The sequence below is a fragment of the Homo sapiens genome, chromosome 18, assembly GCF_000001405.40.
Source record: "Homo sapiens chromosome 18, GRCh38.p14 Primary Assembly".
Classification (NCBI taxonomy): domain Eukaryota; kingdom Metazoa; phylum Chordata; class Mammalia; order Primates; family Hominidae; genus Homo; species Homo sapiens.
The window spans coordinates 389,844-410,057 of record NC_000018.10 but is presented as its reverse complement, the minus strand read 5'-3'; the positions used below and the strand labels follow the sequence as shown (position 1 = coordinate 410,057).

General features: G+C 43.2%; 1 protein-coding gene and 1 long non-coding RNA gene across 4 annotated transcripts in view, besides 1 other annotated feature; one reads left to right on the top strand and one right to left on the bottom strand.

The window, feature by feature from the left end:
* Positions 1 to 20,214, top strand: part of COLEC12 (collectin subfamily member 12) — a 183,965-nt gene that overhangs the window by 90,644 nt on the left and 73,107 nt on the right. The window lies entirely within an intron of this gene.
* LOC107985155 (uncharacterized) overlaps positions 9,593 to 20,214 on the bottom strand; it is a 31,075-nt gene continuing 20,453 nt past the window's right edge. For both annotated transcript variants that reach the window (XR_007066264.1, XR_001753316.3), the window contains one exon: positions 9,593 to 9,974. This is a non-coding gene — a long non-coding RNA (uncharacterized LOC107985155). The remainder of the gene's footprint in view (positions 9,975 to 20,214) is intronic.
* Positions 14,847 to 16,046: an enhancer, noted in NCBI's record as "BRD4-independent group 4 enhancer chr18:394012-395211 (GRCh37/hg19 assembly coordinates)". NCBI's record gives its function as "activates an origin of replication core promoter dependent on BRD2, P300/CBP, MED14 and CDK7 cofactors, and independent of BRD4, by STARR-seq in HCT116 cells {active_cell/tissue: HCT116}" and the evidence as "EXISTENCE:reporter gene assay evidence [ECO:0000049][PMID:35650434]".

Below are 20,214 nucleotides of genomic sequence, written 5' to 3'. Positions count from 1 at the left end.
TTATTAACCCCGATTTACAGAGGTGAGAACTGAAGTTCAGAGAAATTAAGTAACTTGTTCCAGATCACACAGCTAGTAATTAGAAGATCTAGGTCTCGAAGCCAGTTTTGCCCACATTTTTCTCCCCGCCACATGCCTCAGTCAGCCCATTAGCGCAATGAGGACAGAGATGATCTTTCCTCCTTCTTGTGCTTATCTGTGCCTAGGAAATCCATGCAACTCCATGTCAGTTTTCAGGTAGGTGAAACATGCTCATATATGCATGGTATGTGTATAAGTGTAGGTATAACTGCATAATAACAAAGGAGCTCTATACTTACAGTGGGTAATTAATATCTATGGTATCAAAGTGAACAATTTCACAATGTTAACATGTTCTAGTATTATTGCTATATAAAGTGTGTTCATGATATAAGAGACTGATTTTCAATGATGAATAAATACCTACAAAATCATAAATAAAACAACTCATTGGTACTTTCTATAGGAATGCTTGCTTTTTTGGGAAAGTAGACATTTCTTTTATTTTTTTGAGACAGAGCTTTGCTCTTGTCGCCCAGGCTGGAGTACAGTGGTGTGATCTTGGCTCACTGCAACCTCCACCTCGTGGATTCTCCTGCCTCAGCCTCCCGAGTAGCTGGGATTACAGGCGTGCACCACCACACCCAGCTAATTTTTGTTTTATTAGTAGAGACGGGGTTTTGCCACAGTTTGGTCTCGAACTCCTGACCTCAGGTGATCTGCCCGCCTCGGCCTCCCGAAGTGGTTGGATTATAGGCGTGAGCCACCACGCCCGGCCTAGGAGACGTTTCTTTTACAGCCTAAACCATTTGCATGCAGAATAGCCAGATAATTTTCTTTTAGTTGTGAAAACTCATTGGTTCTGTTTAAGAGGAATAAGCTGATAATAAGTGTGGTACATGGCCAGATGCGGTGGCTCACACTTGTAATCCCAGCACTTTGGGAGGCTGAGGCAGGCGGATCACTTGAGGTCAGGAGTTTGAGACCAGCTTGACCAACATGGTGAAATCCTGTCTCTCCAAAAAAAAATACAAAATTTAGCTAGGCGTGGTGGTATGTGCCTGTAATACCAGCTACTCAGGAGTCTGAGGCATGAGAATCACTTGAACCCCAGAGGTGGAGGTTGCAGTGAGTCAAGATCGTGCCACTGCCCTCCAGCCTGGGCAGCAGAGCAAGACTATCTCAAAAAAATAAAAAATAAAAATTAAAAATTAAATAAGTATGGTACACAATCATTTCTGAATTAGGCAGTTCAATCCTATTTTAGTGTGAAATACATTATTATGGCAAAATTATTTCCTAAGGAGCTCTATCTATACACATTAATGAATTTAGACCTACTTCCTCTGTCTGAAATTTGACTTAAAGAAATAACCTTAAATCTTTTTCCTCCCATGCTTTTATTTTCCTGTCTTTTTTTTTTTTCCTTTTTCTCAATATTTGGTAATACTTGAATTCCCTGGAGGATTTCAACTTTGAGACCGCTATGAATAATTCAAGCTTAATCTTGCCTTCATTCCTTTCCAAGTTCAAAATCTGACATTTTTTTTTCTGTTTATGAACCACAGGAGTTTTTGTTATCATGATTGAAAAGACCACTAAAGGAGATGCAGTATGTGATGTATTATTTATTGAAAACACAGATGGGATTACATTTATGATGAGAATGTTTCTGATTCTTAAATTTAAGAATCTGATACCTGCTGAGTTAGGAAAAAGAGACTGACATTTGCAGGTATCAGGGGCCAGGCACTGTGCTGACCTTTTAATAACGTTTTCTCAGGTATCATTGTACCTAGTTTCCCAATTAGGAACCTGGAGTTTAGGGTTAAATAACTTGTGATAAGGCTGGGATTGAACCTAAAGCCCATGATCTTCCCAGGACACTGTCCTCACACCATGCTGAAAACCAAAGAAATTGACTTAACCTCTTGCATTCTGAATTAGAGTTATTAAAAATTCATTTCCTAGGTTAGTGCCAACTGGATTCCTTCTCTGCATGAGTCATATTCATCATTCATCCAGCCATTTATTATATTCCTTCTAGCCCAGGGTTTTGCAATTCTGACTATATATCCAGATCACCTGGGGAGCTTTTTAAAAATATAAATGTCAGGCCCCACTCCCCAGAGATTCTGATCATTGGCCTAGGGCGGGCTCCAGGCAGCTATTTTTAAAGTCCCTGAGTGATTCTGATGTGCAGCCAGGATTGATACATTGCAGTCTCATTGCAACCCCTCATCTCTGACATCACTCCCTGTGGGGTCCATTTTATGTGTTGACTTTACTGGTTGTGGGGTACCTAGGCATTCGGTCACACATTGTTGTGTGTCTGTGAGGATGTTTCTGGACAAGATTAACGTTCAGATTGGTAGTGTGAGTAAAGTTGGTTACCTTCCCTAATGCGGGTGGGTTTCATTCTGTCAACTGATGACCTGAATAAAACAAAAAGGCTGATTCTTCTCTGAATAAAAGGGAACTCTTCCTGCCTGACTGCCTTCAAAGCTGGGACATTATTTTTCTTTCTTTTTTATTTTCTCCTGCCTTCAGACTCAAATGGAAACATTGGCTCTTCTTGGGTTTTGAGCCTTGGCTTTCAGACTGAAACTAGCGCCATCAACTCTCCTGGGCCTCCAGCTTGCCGACTGCAGATCTTGGTACTTACCAGGCTTCGTAACTGCATGAGCCAATCCCTTATAATAAATCCCTTTCTGTATATACACTACCTATTGGTTCTGTTCCTCTGGAGATCACTGACTAATACACTTCCTTTTTAACTAAGACCTCTAGGCACTTTTGCTATCTCTGAGGTTTTTCATATTTTATATCCCTAGAGACAAAATCAAAGAAAATTTCTTTAAAATGGGGTTTAGATGGACATCTCTCTGAGGTTCCACCTCAACACTGACACAGGGCAGATGTGGCTCAGCCTCAGGAAGCTGAAATTCTCACCCCTGTGTTTCCCTCAGCCAGCGGAGGCCTTTCGACTGTGCCCATCTAGCAGAAGCAGCTGTGAGATCAGGGAACACAGGACCTTGCTAACAGACCCCAGGCTTGCTGAGTGGTCCAGTTGCAGGAAGAGCAGCCTAGGGAGTGAAGCTGCCTACTGCAAACTCACATTGTCCCGTCATCGCTCCTGAGGTCTGGGGTCAGTCCTCTCAGGGTGCTGGCCAGATGCCAAAGCTGAGCTTAGGACCTGGAGCCCAGCACCGAGTGAGGAGGTAATTACACAACGACACAAGAGAAAGACACACCAAAGTGGGGAGCAGACCAGTCCTGGAGAGCACTGAGGACCAGGCCAGTGCCTGACTCCAGTCCAGTTGTTACAGGAAAAGGGTCCCCATCCAGACCCTGAGAGAAGGTTCTTGGATCTCACACAAGAAAGAATTCAGAGTGAGTCCATAGAGTAAAGTGAAAGCATGTTTATTAGGAAAGTAAAGGAATAAAATAATGGCTACTTTATACACAAGGCAGCCCCGGGAGCTGCTGGTTGCCCTTTTTTTTTTTTTTTTTTTTTTTTTGAGACGGAGTCTCGCTCTGTCGTCCAGGCCGGACTGCGGACTGCAGTGGCGCAATCTCGGCTCACTGCAAGCTCCGCTTCCCGGGTTCACGCCATTCTCCTGCCTCAGCCTCCCGAGTAGCTGGGACTACAGGCGCCCGCCACCGCGCCTGGCTAATTTTTTGTATTTTTAGTAGAGACGGGGTTTCACCTTGTTAGCCAGGATGGTCTCGATCTCCTGACCTCATGATCCACCCGCCTCGGCCTCCCAAAGTGCTGGGATTACAGGCGTGAGCCACTGCGCCCGGCCTGGTTGCCCATTTTTATGGTTATTTTTTGATGATATGCTAAACAAGGGGTGGATTATTCATGTCTCCCCTTTTTAGACCCTATAGAGTAACTTCCTGATGTTGCCATGGCATCTGTAAACTGTCGTGGCACTGGTGGGAGTGTAGCAGTGAGGACGACCAGGGGTCACTCTCATTGCCATCTGTTTTTGGTGGGATTTAGCTGGCTACTTTACTGCAACCTGTATTATCAGCAAGGTCTTTATGACCTATATCTTGTGCTGACCTCTTATCTCATCCTGTGACTTAGAAGTCCTTAACCGTCAGGAATGCAGCCCAGTAGGTCTCAGCCTCATTTTACCCAGCCCTTTTCAAGAGGGAATTGCTCTGATTCACATGCCTCTGACACAGTGGGCAAGCAGATGAACGGCAGGCCAGGTGAAAAGGCCAGAAGCCCCATGGGTATGACCAGAAGAGAAAATGTTGGGATGGGGTGAGAGAGAGATGGGAAGGTAAGTCAGAAGTCTCTCCACTGTTGCATACCTATAACTTATTTGTGTTGACCACCAGCCATATGGCCATGAATGGATCAGCGTGATTGAAATACCTGTGTTGGAGCAGCTGATTTTTCATTCAGCTTATACAGCCCCACCCTACTGGGGGAACCTGCCCCCAATATTTCAACGTAGGTTCTATTTTCTATAAGTGTCAGCCGGCTGAGAAATAAAGAGAGACAGTACAAAGAGAGGAATTTTGCAGCTGGGCCACTGGCGGTGACATCACATATCGGTAGGATTGTGATGCCCGCCTGAGTCTCAGACCAGCAAGTTTTTATTAAGGGTTTCAAAAGGGGAGGGGCTGTAAGAACAGGGAGTAGGTACAAAGATCACACGCTTCAAAGGGCAAAAAGCAGAACTAATAAGCATCTAACAAAGATCACATGCTTCTGAGGGAACAGGACAAAGGGCAAAAGCAGAACTATTCATAAGGGTCCAACAAAGGTCACAGGGCAAAGGGCAAAAGCAGAACTACTAATAAGGGTCTATGTTCAGCGGTGCACGTATTGTCTTGATAAACATCTTAAATAACAGAAAACAGGGTTTGAGACAGAGAACTTGTCTGACCACAAATTTACCAGGGTGGAGTTTCCCAACCCTAGTAAGCCTGAGGGTACTGCAGGAGACCAGGGCACATCTCAGTCCTTATCTCAACCGCATCATACAGACATTCCCAGAGCAGCTGTTTATAGACCTCCCCCCAGGAATGCATTCCTTTCCCAGGGTATTAATATTAATATTCCTTGCTAGGAAAAGAATTTAGCATTTATAGGCTCTCTGCAAGAAGAAAAATAAGGCTCTTTTTGCCCAACCCCGCAGGCAGTCAGACCTTATGGTTGTCTTGCCTTGTTCCCTAAAAATCGCTGTTATTCTGTTCTTTTTCAAGGTGCACTGATTTCATATTGTTCAAACATACGTGTTTTACAATCAATTTGTACAGTTAACACAATTATCACAGTGGTCTTGAGGTGACGTACATCCTCAGCTTATGAAGATAACAGGATTAAGAGATTAAAGTAAAGACAGGCATAAGAAATTATAAAGGTATTATTTGGGAACTGATAAATGTCCATATTAAAATGAAATCTTCACAATTTATGTTCCTCTGCCACGGCTCCAGCTGGTCCCTCCGTTTGGGGTCCCTAACTTCCCACAACACCACCCTTCGTCCCACTTTAAATTCATGTGTGACTCCATCCTGTCTTTTGAATATTTTGCTTTATTCAGTAACACAAGTTCATGACTTGGTAAAAAAAGCCGCGGCTTACAACATCATAAGCTAGTTCCCCATAAATTGCTGCCACACTGATAATACCTTTAAACATAGGAAACAGCATTTTGGAATTCTGTGTTTTCAAGTAAATTTTAGTTCATTTTAGTGTCTTGCAAATAGCAGGCAGAGGAATGATACTCTTACCATTTGCTTTTTTTTTAAACCACATTTTCCCAAACTTTGAAAAACAATTGCTAATAAACAAACCAAGCCACAGGAATTATTTCAGTTCAAGAGAATAAACAGATTTCAAGAGATCAAAAGAAGTCACTGAAGTTCATCTAGCAATGCTTTCATTCCTATATTATACTCGCACATCGGCGACATGGTGTGTGAAGATAATGGCATCAGAATTTCCATTTCATGCTTAATTTTCTGATGGTTTTTGCTATCTTCATTTTACCTTAAAGAAGATAAATAAATAACCCAACCAACCAGGAATACATTTGGGGAAAAAGGAAGATGCCCAGGGTTATATATTGGAGTTCTTCCAATTCCAGAGCAGCAGAAGAAAGCCTCTTCCAATCCTTTGTTTGTGCCATAGGTATGAGAACAAATGGCAAGACATCCCTCTTCCACGTTGACTTGCCTTCAGGTGAATCTGAGGCTGCCCAGTGACCTGGCAAAATTGGCTATGGAGATATTGTAGACATTTTAGATTTGAAAAGATAACTTTTCTCTTACTTTTACCCAATTAGGACCATTTCCTCAACTCTGCACTTAGGTTACCTAATGGAGGTACAGCTTTAATAACCAATTCCATTTATCTTTTAGAAATTCTCAAAAGAAATAAGAAGGATGTGTCTTCAGTTAAAGCTGTCTTTCAAAAAGATAGAGAGCCATGGGTCACTGAAAGGAAAACAAGCCACCAGCAAAACACACGTTGTCTCACACGCTCTTCTGTCGTGAATAACAATGTGTAGTGTTAGTGTGAGCATACCCAGGCTGTCTGTATTCTGTGGGGTGAAGAGGAGCAAATGGGTGCTGCTGCCCTAGATTTTCCCACTCTAGGCATTAGAATCTTGTCTTTCCTAATGACCTACTGTTTACCCAGTTCATATATTTATAATGACACCTGCAAGGGTTTTCTTTCTTTCTTTTTTTCCAAACCCAGAGACTTTGAAGACAACAAAAGGATAACTTGGGTGATTGAAAACACACCCAATGGTAAGAACTCTATACAATTTGTGTTCATGTGTACATGTAACAAACCATGGAGAAAATCATGTAGGTCCTGAAATATGTTGCCAGTTCTGTCTCACTGAGGACTCAGCCGTAGCCAGAGGCTAAGTCCTTTGTATCATGATCCTGTCCCACTTGAGCCGGTTTGCACTTCTTACTTTGGGATCCTTAATACGCTGGCCATACATAGCTCTTAGTCTTTGGTTCTGAAGTCTAGTCCTTAAGAACTGAGTATTGAAAAGTCCTCTCAGTAGGATTAGCATTCTTCTGAGGCTAAGACTACAGCCAGGAAGTTGAAAACCCCTTTTGAAGGGCACGGTGACTTAACCCTTGAAGGAGAAGTGGCTGTGGATGGCTCATTGTCAGGAACAGGGACACTGACTCTTCCTGAGAGACGCTTCAGACCCTTCCCCAAAGTGGTAACTCAGGCCATGGCTTCTAATCACTTCATGCCCAATTTTATGTACTTCCTGCTTGTGTGCACACTCCTGCTGACCCACCAAGACCCACACGAGTCTGAAAGCAAGGAACAAACTTTCGCAGCAGTAGCGATAACTCTAATTCAGCTACTGCAAAGACCTTTTGTTAGGTGAAGGTGAAACACTTCACAAGGGAAGATTTCTGGATCTTTAGATCTCTGCTAGATTTCCCAGGTGCAGCAGAGGAGCCAAGAGACGTCCCCACCTCCCCACACTCTGGTCAGCCTTTGTGTCATCCGGCCATGCTTAACTATTAAAAGTACCCTCTTTCATACTGTTGTGTTGCCGTTTTACTCTGCCACCTTCTGCTAGGGCGTGGTGCTGAGGCAGGAGAATAGGGTCTGGAGGCAGGAAACCTGAGTTGCTGAGGCAACTCCCTTTTCAACCCCTCCTTTTTCTGCGTGGCATTTGGAAAATGAAAGTACCTCTGATTGGTCCCCTCCCACAACCAGACTGGTCATGGGCCTACTCTTCAGCCAGTCAGACTGGTTGTAGGCCAATAGAGGAACCAACGGGAAACCTCTAGAGGGTATATAAACCCCAGAAAATTCTGTAACCAGTGCTCCTGAGTCTCTTGCTTGGGCCAGGTCCCACCTTGTGGAGTGAACTTTCATTTCACAAAAATCTCTGCTTTGGCTGCTTTGCTTCTGTGTTTTGTCCAATTCTTTGTTCAAAACACCAAGAACCTAGACAACTACCCTCAACCGATAACAATGCTAAGTAGAATAGAATTGTGGAATCACACAAGCCTGGAAGGAGTTCTGAAGGTTAGTGCCTTAAAGTATATCACGTTTTCTGCTGTCTTAAAGTGGAGGCCCTTGTTGGACCCACATGTCAACTCCTCCAGAAGCCCTATGTCCCTTTCAGGCCCTCTCAGGTCCGCCAAGTTTCAGATCATCATGTAGCGTGGCCAGTGTGTTCAGCCTTTCTGTCCTTGAACCCTGAAGAGAGAGGGCTTGAAGCCTGCTATGAAGCCTCAATACATTGTACCCAGTACCATGTCCCCAAGAACTATACTAAAGCAAATTTTTGATTATACTCCCTCTAAGGTATTAAAGTATCTCCAAGGGATGATAACCCAACTTTGTAAGCAAAAACGTTGGGATACCAGGAGGATGCATTGTGAATCAAAGGCCAGAACACTGGCCCTCCCTGTTACACCTCAACGCTTCTAGTCCGAGGCAGTCGCTGAGCACTAAGGACAAGTCCTTGGTGACAATTAGAAGGATCTTTTCTGATGATAATAATTATACTTTCACAGGCAACTGAGAAGCCTTGGCTGTAACATTCTTGCAATTGGCCTTTTGAAATCCTGGTCTGTTTCCCTTGGAATACGGGTTGAATCCCTGTCAGGAAGCCAATGGTAACTGCATTTTCTTTAGTGGCAGTTACTGGAGATTTTACAGAGGAATTATTTAAAAGACCAGCCAGGACGAATGGCAACAGATCTGAAGAACTATAATGCAAATAAAAATATTTGACTTCACTCATGAATAACTGATTTTATATTCCTAAATACTAAGAAGGTTGTACAAGCCTCCGAATGCAGATAGTACCAAAAAGAACATAGGAGGCGTATTGGTGAGAATAGCTGGGTTTTGATCAGAACACATTCACATGGAAGACAAAGTCTACCTTCCACTCCACCCTTGCCTTCTCATGCTGTTATGAGATTGGTGTTTCCATGTGGATAAGTCACAAAGAAGAAAAAAGTTCCTTCACTGATCTAGTTGTAGTTTCACTAGGGATACAGAATGCATCTTCACAAAATGAAGGAGGAAAGTTTACTTTTCAGGAAGCTGGACCATATGTTCCCAGATGCTGCTTTGCTCCAAAATTCAGGGAAAGAAGGTTTAGGCTACTTCTTAAAACACACACACACACACACAAATTGTTATTTCTTGAAACAACAGCACACCCTCCAAAATAGTAAATGTTACCAGAACAATAATAAATAGTGGCACACATGCGCATCTTTAAAACAGCCAGTCACACCTTCCATTGCATAACCGACAGCCATGTGCTCAGGCATTTCTGTGATGATTGAAGACACATTCCAACAGTCATAAACATCCATCACAGATTCAAGTATGAGTTGCAGGATTCCAAAACCACAGGCTGCCAGTTTTTGGCCATTAGTGACATACCAAGTGTTACTGAGATCTCTGCGCAACCTCTGGGTTTGCACAATACGGCTGAAATGCTACTCAGTGGAAGAAAGTACTAGGGGTGAAATTACCCTTCAGAAGGTAATTCTGAAGAAATTCCTAATAAAGAAGAAAGGAAACATGCCGTTTAGAGCTAAAATTGCTTTACTGAAACACAGTCAAGTCATACATGAAATACAATGGCCTTTATGCTCAGTTCCCCTGCATGCCTTGGGCCCTCTTTTCCCTTAAGTTTTGTCATATGTTTAAGTATATATTACTGGTCATTCCAAGAGCTTGAACTATGACAGCCTGAAAGGATCTACTTATCCTATAAACTGTTGAACACAATTGGCATGAGTTGGACCAAATTTTGCTCCATTTTTTTAGAGCACACCTGGGCTTCATTGTCCAGTATCCAGAGATTATCCAGATTAGAATTTTTCAGGACCCTTTCCATCTCCTAGATCCCCCCGGCCGCTGTCTTCTTGCGGTCTCCTTCCTCTCTAGTGACACCAGCAGACCTGCACTGGAGATACAAATGGAGATGAAAGGGTTAACCATTTATACTAAGAGAAAGCTGGAAGTCCTTGCAAAAACTATGTCATGGGATTTTCTATACACTCCCAATAAATACAGCCTCTTCAGTCACTATCCCCCACCCGCCCCCACCACCCTTTAACAAGCGTTGTCTGAGGATCAAGCCAAAAACTGGGGGCTGTTAGAAGCTGGGCTAGTCCCAAGCAAACTGTGAAGCAGATGAAAATAAATTTGCCAAGTGCACCAGCATAGTCCTCACCACATATCTGCCCTCAGCCTCCTTCCTTCAGTGGTAGTCATGGAGATGGGGGAACGAGGGCATATTCCTTCCCAGCGCTCGGCATCCACCCCAAATTCCGCATCCCCGTTGAACTAACAACAGGTAACAGCACAAAGTAGGGTTCTTCCCCAAAGCGGCTGCATTTTAACTCAGATTAAAACTCAAGCAAATAACCTGCCAGGGAGACTTAGACAAAAGCTTCAGATGAGGGTGGAGACCATCTGTGCTCCATTCCCCAGCATATCCCCAGGGCCTGACACTTAGGAGGAGGTCAATAAATATTTGCTAAATGAATACATTAGTGAATGACACGGTAGGAAACAGCAGAGTGTGGCCTGCTCTTGGAGCTGGTTTGACAAGGAAGGATTCCAGCTATCAGGGAGTGGCTGGGCAGGGGCACAGAGCTGCGCGCTACACAGTGATGAGAACCCTTCCAAAAAGCCTCTCGTCTGGCCTGCTTTCCTGGCCCTTGCCACACACACAAGGTCTGTGGTGCTGGTGGTGCCCATTCCAGTAGTCTGAAGTTCATTCCATCAATAGCATCTTACGCTTAGCCTGAGACCCACGTAGCAGAAAAATCTCAACTTCAGACACCGCTGTGCGTTTTTTGGATAGTGTTTCAGATTGGGGTTTTTTTGTGTTGTTTTTGGTTCCTTTGCTTTTTAAACAGTTCCTTGAGCTGCTGACAGAGTAGCCCAGTGTACATGGGTGGTCCCAAAATGCTTTGCACTATTTGGACCTACTCTGTTGTATTACATGGGTAACAAGATCAGAGGAATTTGGATGTGTTTAGGTTAGGATTTAGATCTGGATACTACATATAGACCTGCTTTTAATTCCCTCTTTCCTTCTTGTATTATTTAAGTCCATGGACACTTAGAATCAATATATAAACATCTCCAAGAAGCACAAAAAGAAGCAGCATGTGGAACGTGAGGTCAAAGCTGTCAGCTCACATTTCCCCTCCCCAGAAAAGCCCGGAGATTTTGGAGTTCCTCAGTACATGTCTTCAGTTGGCTTCAATGTCAGTTTGCTTCTTGTTCTTTATATAATTGTTGACTTCTTTGAAGTTCATTATAGACATCACTAAGTCAGATAGTCCCACATTATAAGCAGACTCTTCTAATTCTTCTGCAGTGTGAATTTGCTTTTCCCATCTGTGAGATTTCCCTGTGACTGGCCCACTGACAGTCAGTTGCCTGCATCAGGGACCGCTGAGTGTACAGAGCTGCTTCTTTCCTTCAGAGGGAGGCTCAGACCTGGAGAGGGGACCACATTCAAAAGAGCCGATTGTTTTCAAGCATTGGAGAAGCAGCTCCAGAAAATCCTTGCCTGGCAACATTGGAGAAATGCGCTGATCTTGTGTTTTTACCATAGAAGTGGTTGGAAAGGGGAATTTGCTGCTGGTTCCTTTCATCTTGATGGTGGTTGCTTTTCTTGGATAAAGTCACAAAATTCTTCTGAAACTAGAAATTGTGACCCTTGATATTAAAAAGGTATATAAGGGCTCTAATTTTTTCAAACCTACTATGGGGTGACAAAATCCATTTACTGAAGGTATTAAGACTGCAGATAATATTTCTGCTGAATAAGAAGCAGTGTGGACTAATGGGAAGAGACACAACATATTCTTCTCCAGTTTCTCATAGTTTCGATGCTTTCTTGAAAGTGCCTGTGAGGCAAAGATGCATGAAGACATGTTCTGCTTTTTGCTGTTTTTTTGTGTTTTTTTGGTAACATAGAAAGTTAGGTCATAGACCTGGGCCATGGACCTGTGTAAGTATTTAAGACATTTGGACATATTTTGTATCTGTAACTTCCCTTCCCTTTTTAAAAAGTTCTCTAAACTAGAAATGGTGTAGATATGGAATCAACTGTGAAACTATCCTTCTCTGGCAGCTCCAAAATCCTTTACATTTTTTCCTGGCTGGGTGACACGATTTTAACCCTAACTGAATGGGCCAATCTTTGGCCTTTTCTACAAGTTCTCAAATTCAAGGGCAGAGAGTCTAGTGGACCTGGATACTTGTACCGGGTTAAATGGACTTATCAGTGAGGTATTATCTAGCTTTAACCTTCACAAGATGGACACATGGCTTAAAAAGCCTCCTCTGAAGAAACCATGGGTTAAAGATAGACTAATAACACAGGCCACCCAAAAAACCAAACTGACAAAAACAGCAAAGGTAGCACTTCTGCTCCCCTTCCCAAAAGCTCTTTGCCAGACACCATTACAAGAAAGAAAGACTGATGATCTGATGTGCCAAGCAGCTGGCCAAAACAAAGAAACAAAAAACCCTTCAAAATTATAAAAATCTAACTAGGACACAGGGATGAAAAATCTACATCTATAATTGTTATCATATATCTTACACTCAAAGTATATTTTGCGCCTTGGACTATTAAGTAATGATAATGGCCTGTGTAGATAATTTATTAGGTCCCAAATAAATAATGAATAAAATAGAGCATGGGGTGGGGGTGTATGTTCAAAATGCTTGGAACCTACTGCTTAGGGAATGTCATTGACTAAGGTTGATGTTCAAAAGTAGGGGTGGTGGCCTCAGAGGACAAACCTGCCTGCAAACAAAGTCTGAATGGATGATAGAAGCCACGGATAAGAGGGAAAGAACTTGGAGGACATACTGTACAAATCAGAAGGACAGGAAATCTCCTTGTCTTTCTATAGATACACAGAACTAAGGAAGGATCCAGGGAAAGTAGACACAAACTCAACAAAGCAACAAGGTCCATCCAAGATCTGGTTCCAGAGCTGACTGGGCATTCCAGGTCACTTGACAGATGGTGGTAGGAGATGCATTCGTGGGACCTGGGTGGTGTACATCACCCAGGCTGGCCTCTCCAACCTGCCCTCAGTGCAGTCCAACATTGAGAACACAGGCAAAGGTGGAGAGTGGGTTTTGACTCAAGCTTTTGGCCTCTTGCATTTAATCATCCAAGTGTGGCCTTTCCCAGTTAAGGCAAACAAACCTTAGAGTTCTCGTCACTTTTCAAGGTTTCTGGAAAGAAAAGGCCTATGAGCTCTTGCCAAGGCGGCTGCATTCAGTTGTCAGTTGTGCAGGTTTTGCTTTGCAGAAAGGCTTCCAGAAGGGCTGGTCCATCTGGAGGGGACACGTTTTTCTAACTCACACAAAGACATCTATGTTGACTGGCCTTGGCCAGGGCCTTGTGGTAAATTTTGGCAGAATAGAGCCAAAACCAGAAAAAGAGATTCAGTGGAGAAAACCCTAAATTGGATGAATTTTTACTTTTCAACCCATAATATGGCTTCTGTAGGCCCTGATGAAATCAGTACATGTTATTGGAGAAGCCACTGAGTAGGTTAGTAGGTTGTGTAAGTCCTGGCTAGTAGATTCGGTGTTGTTAGAGAAGCCACTTGGAGTCAGATTGGATGGTGGAGAGGAGCTGATGTGAAAATGTTTGCAATTACCAGGCTCTGAGACTGCAGGGATTTGGAGAAAAAGCACATCAGTTTTGTTTTGTGACCAGGACTTTTTGAGTTGTTGCACAAATGCTGTTTGTTTGCAGAAACTCAGGAGCCCTGTACTTCTTACTCATTACCTGCTGCCACTCTCCCAAACACACCGGTGTTGGGATCCTCCCCTTCCCCAACTGGCAAAGAAGGAAAGGGTTCTTTGTGACTCAGGCTAGGAAGTGACAGGAGAGCTCACTAGAGGCTGAGGGGTGCCATCTCCATTTACAAAGCTGATAGCAAAGTAATCAAACCTAGCAGCACCAAGAGCCTGGGGCAGCTCCTTGGCAGCGCTCTCCACCACATTGTGTGCTCTGGGTCGCACAGGGCCTGTAAATTGCACAGTAATGGCTGGGTCCACAGCAGGAATAAACATGTGCTTTGAATTTTCCAAATGAGTCAGACGCACGCTGCGAGATAAATGCTGATAGCAAGCAGATGTGACATGTGCTTTTCAAGAGGATGGATGGGGGGAATTGGGGATTGGCATCTTCTACACTCTTTGAGTCAATGGACTGACACCTAATGGGACCTGGTCTTTTAACAAGAAACATTGGGTGATGGGTGACATTTTCCCCACTTCTTTCTTTCCGTAAGAGGAATCTACATTTTAAGTCTCAAATGTAAACGTGCTCTGGTTCCAATTTGTCGGCTGACTCTAATCGCCTCGGAACTTATATAAACTCTAGGTGAGTAATTTCCCCAAGTACAGTACCCTCTTGGAATGCATGAGCTGTGAACTCAGATTAAACTTTTAACCTCACATTTTTCTGGGAAGGATTATTATCCCTGTTTCTATCGTTTGAAAAGGCCATCAGAAACTCCAAAAGGTCCAGTGCTCGCAGGGGTTGAGTTAGTACACTCTCTCAAGAGCCTGTCCCCTGTGCTGAGTATGCCTGGCCTCCCAAAAATGGGATGAGAGGGTCTGTTGTGCCAGAATTAAAACTACAAGGCACCAACTCTCTTGCCTTCCTCATAACACTCTCAACTAAATGTGCAGTTTGGAGGGCCCTGTGCCCTCCCAGCTCAACTGCAAAAGCCCTGAGTGTCTTTGCTGATGCATGCCATGTGCCAGTTGCCAAGCAACATACATAACACATTCATCAGCAGAGCGTGAGGTCTGAGTCCTAAATTTCTGCTGCATTCTTCCACACTTGGCTTTCATTCACCTTGTCTCCTTCCAGCAACTGGATCAACAGATGTTAGGCTTTCCCAGAGTGTTTGGCAGAACCAGTCCCAGATGCCAAGCTTGAAGATACAACATCTCTTTGCAACCTCTAATTCCTATCACTGTACTCATTAATCACTTGCTCAAACCTTTAACTGAGTCCATTAGGACTTCAATACCAGGTGTTTTTTTTGTTTTGTTTTGTTTTGTTTTTACTGAGTTGGCATCAACATGGAAACAAGTGGACTGGTGTATTCTCCCAGAAGCTTCTCATTATTTGTACTTAGTTTCTGTTTGATCACTACCAAGAGGCAGCTGGCATGGTGTCATGGGAAGAACAGTAGGCTTGGGAGTCAAGTGGCGCTTCTGCGGACAACTCATTATGGAGCCTTGGCCAAGTCAGTATTTTCGAAAGGGCCTCAGCTTCTTCTTTTATAAAGTGAAGATATTGGACTCAGTGGTCCTCCCGTTGAAACAATAATAATCCCATTAGTTTTACTATGCAGTTTCAAAGAAAAGCAGACACCAAAGCAAGAAGCAAAAATGGGAAACCTTCAAGGTCAAAAGTTTCAGTTCACTGTATTGAATGTTGCTCTGCAATGTCTTTCGAATATGTTTTGATACAACATTCTGCTGTAAACACCATGATGCCATTTTCATGTGGTATTACATCACCCAATGGATATTTTTGGATTCTTAAACGAGAAACCCACTGTTCTAGCACTAGAAGAACAAGGGAGGCTGTGATAGCATCATTCCCACTTCCAGCCCCCTCTGGGGTTAGAAAATGGATCAAATAATTGGTTGCTGATCTTAAATTTCCTCAGCATTCATGTGTGTTTACACCCACACTGACCCCAGTACCAGGTTGCCTCCCACCCTCCTTTCTGGACTCCTGTCCTCTGTCCTATGGAACGACAAAACAGAATTGGGCACAATTTTCTCTATTTCTGACTTTACTCAATTGCTTTTCTGGTGTTGGCCTCATCAATGGACAAGCTGCTGGAAGTTGACTGAGTATAAAATGCTATAAGGGAAACATTGTAGGAAAAAAAGCATCCCATTATTCCTGTCTCCAAAAGCAAGATTGGAGATTGGGGTCTTCTCTAAGACAGACGCCACCACCTGCACCCGGGACCTCCAGCAACCACCTCCACAAAGCCTATGTAAACAGTGTAATGTGTTTTGATATTAACCTTGTAACAAACATCTTAAGTTTCCTTCATGTTGGTGCTGGAACAGGAGTGTTCAATTACTCACTAATTTTGTAGACATTTGTTGAACATCTATTAGGCATCTGGAACTGAGGATACAAAGATAAACGTACATGGCATTGCCTGAAAGGAATTTATGATCTAGCAAAGGGCACAGACGTGTATATAGTCTGCTGGAATATATTATGATAAGTGCTACACTGGTGGTGTGGATGAAAGGCCACACGGGCACAGATAGGAGCTATGAGTTCCGCCAGGATTTCACTTATCTAAAAGACAGGCAAAGGGTATTCCAGGCAGAGGAACATGCGTAGGCAGACGCAGGGCAACATGAAAGTGCATGGCAGATTCAAGGAATGTTGCAGGTCGGTGTGATGGGATCATAGATTCATGGTAGAGAGTGGCTTGTTTATATACAGTTTATGTACAGTTGTTAGAGGTGGGAAGAAGATTTGACTCCGAGCTCCCTAGATACCAAAGAAAAAAGGGAAATATGAAATTTGCTGTGCCTCCGAGCTCCCTAGATACCAAAGAAAAAAGGGAAATATGAAATTTGCTGTGCCTACATGAGAAAAGCCAAATGCTCGAGAGAAACAGGCTTCTTCTGGAATTAAGAGCCAAGGGACACTTCTCTGTTGATTCTCTTCAGAGGCTCAAGATGGGATACAGTGGAAATATCTTCAACAATATCCCCGCACTAGCAATTTTTATAAGACTGTTTCTTGTAATGTCCCTCAGTGCGAGCCAATGGCATCTTGCCAAAGTGTAATTCAGTAAAAGCAGCTCTACATGGGACCAGAACAATTCAGCCTAAGCCTGCTGTTTTTTGATGGTTTGGCTTGATGTGTGAATACAACTTAGGGTATCTAGAGGAATGGATGTTCTTCATATCTTTCAGGCAATCATCCATGAATATTATTTCTTACAACAGGGCTCTTAAAAAGCATTAGGTAGCAGGCAATGAACTTGAGCTTCTATTCATTGGTGAAGACCTCAAGAACAAAGGAGTCTGAACATTGGGTTATGTAACAAAGAAAAGAATCTTTTCCAAAGATGTTTAGTCATGGAAGAGAAGTAACCGGTCATTCTGGACTAAGTGCAGTCCAATGGCTCAGCTCAAACCGGCCTGCATTAGGGCTAGGTTGTTAAGTAAAGTTTCCTGCCCTGACAGCACATGTCTTGCTGTGAACTCTAGGCTGGAAGTGGGCCCATAAAAGGCCCTCACATTTTAGGAGTAAAACTGTGGGCTAAGCACCTTTTGAGATTTGGCCCTTTTTCCTTAGTAGCTGAAGTAATTGTGTGATGCACAAACCTGGGTCCAGAAAGCTGGGACAAGGGTGTGGCATTTCACCAAATAGCATCTGAAATGGGGGCTAAAAGAGAGTGTAAGTTTCGCCAAATACCAAATCCTACATATTTATATAACATGGTATAATTTATAAACTATATTCCCATCCAGTATGTAATTTAAATTGCATAAAAACCTTGTACAGGAGTCGTGTGATTATCACATTATAGATGGGAAAACTAAGGCTTGATCAAGTTAGCATGGATGTTCGGTGACAAAACCAGAATTGTAACCCAGGTCTTTTGATTTTAGTGCAGTTATTTTTTACCTTTCAAGGTTCAGGCGAGTTATCCAGAAGAGTAGTGAATTGTAGGTAATGATAGCCATGCCCAGCAGGTACCAAGCTACAGTAGCACAAGTTGAAAAATTACAAACACTGTAGGTAGGGAAGGCTTTCTGCAGTTAACTTAGAAAAAAGCATCCATTTGATTGGCAAGAATGCTCCAAGGATGCTCTTTGTTCACGGAGAGACAGGCACAGTCTGGTTCCTGGATCCCATGAATGGCCCCAGGTATACACTGGCTAGTAGAGACAATCCAAAGATTTGTTCTTTCCACCCTTTATTTACCAAACATGCAAAGTATGATGCCACGTATGAATTGTGGATGAGGATATTCTCAGCAGAATGCGAGATTATTTTCACAATCATTGTAGGAACTTTAAATAATCTTACCTGTTGATATTCAATAGCCAGATCTTCCCAAAAGTCCTTACTCATTGTAAATAATAAGGATAAACTTGAACTCTAGGTTTTAAAGATTGCCTTTCTGAGTGCTATACTTAAGTAAAAATAACTATTGCCACCTCCTGCCAACATTTTCATTAAACATCTAAAAAATAACTTGGTGTGTGGTGGAGAATTGGTGGATATAGACTGTTTTCTCTGGTTCCCCCTGAAAATACCAAGATGGGAGATAAATTCAGACATTGATAGCTCTGCTGCCACAGTGCACTAAATTATAAACTAGTGTCCCAAAAGACAGGATTCTCCTCCCAATCAACAAGAGTACTTATAACCAGAGAGCCATAGGTGCTCAGTATAGAACCAAAACAACAACAACAACAAAAACCCCCAATTTATAGTCAGGGAGGAGATTCCGGACCTCAGTACCATAGGTGGACCTGGTACCACAACACATGTGTATTCGCTGAAGAACTGAGACACTTTGATGCAATTATTTGCCAAAGGTTTCAAAAAGCAATCCACCCCCAAATTGTGGAGGGTAAAATGTTCTTTCCTGTTCTCTTCTCTGTTTGCGCACACACAGTACCACTCACCGCATTCCAGTTGGCACCTGCACACACTCCTAAAATAAGAGAATGTGTAATCTCCTGAGTCTCTTTTGGCTCAAAGCATTGAGAGTTTTCAGAGACTGGGTCTACAAGATGCAGGAAGCTACACACCAATAGCCCTCCTCACGTTAAGGCGATAGGAATAAGACCCCCTGACAGCCAAATCTGAGACTTTGGTTTAGAAAACCCATCATTTAGAAATGGCTTTGTAATAAAACCGGAAATTCAGGTTTTTGTAAAAAAAGTAATAGAAAAAAAGAGCGGACCAGTTCCCCATGGGCACACAGCTGCCCACAGCTGCTGCCTGGTTACTTCCTGACAGACATGGGTTTGCTGCTATGGGAACGATGTCTGTCCCACAGGCAAGGAGTGTCCCTGTGCCCGTGTGCTTGCTGCTAAACAGTGACAAGGACATTAGGAAAACAGGGCCTTCTTAACTCTTGAGGATGACAGTGCATGCACCAAAGAAACCAAAGGAGCCGTTGCCTCTGCTATCATTTTTCTTCTTTTTTTTTCGGAGACGGAGTCTCACTTTGTGGCCCAGGCTGGAGTGCAGTGACACAATCTCGGCTCACTGCAACCTCCCCCTCCCAGGTTCAAGCAATTCTCCTGCCTCATCCTCCCGAGTAGCTGGGACTACAGGCACACACCGGCATGCCTGGCTAATTTTCGTATTTTTAGTAGAGATGGATTTTACCCTGTTGGCCAGTCTGGTCTCGAACTCCCGACCTCGGGTGATCTGCCCACCTTGCCTCCCAAAGTGCTGGGATTACAGGCATGAACCACTGTGCCTGACCCTCTGTTATCTTTTTAATCTTTTAACACAGAAATAGTTATTTGCTGAATGATCCTTAGCCCATTGAACTGGTTTAATGGAACATACAGCAACAACAGAAAGCTAAGTCCCAGACAGTAGTTTCTGCTTTGGAAGAGTGTAACTCAAGTTTGTCATCCTGCCTCTTTTTCAGAAATAGCTCGAAGGAGGAGAGGTATGGCCCATCTTTTTGCTTTTATAGCAAATCAACATTTGGGCAGCACGATGGCCTCCCTTCCCAGGTTTTAGGAACACCTGAGGCCTGTTCTTGGGAAGTGCAGCTGTGATTGGTGGGGACCTAGCCCCCTGCTGGGCAAAGCACTTCTAGGTCCTGGGAACTGCCTCGGTTGAGATGGCACTGTGAAATAAGTCTCAGTGTGTTTGCTCAATGCTTTGTGTTTTGTTTATTTATGCTTTAATATTAAAGAAAAAATTCCATCAGAACCTTATCTTTAGCCTTAGATTAGAACAAAAATTAGAACAAAAGTCACTCATCAGAAAGCTACAGATGTAGTTTGTAAATCCCTCACTGGAAAATGAATTTGCCTTTGTGGCCAGATCTGTGAGTGTGGTTTGACCACGAGAAAGCCGCTAATGTTTGTTGGTTGGGCTCAGAGAC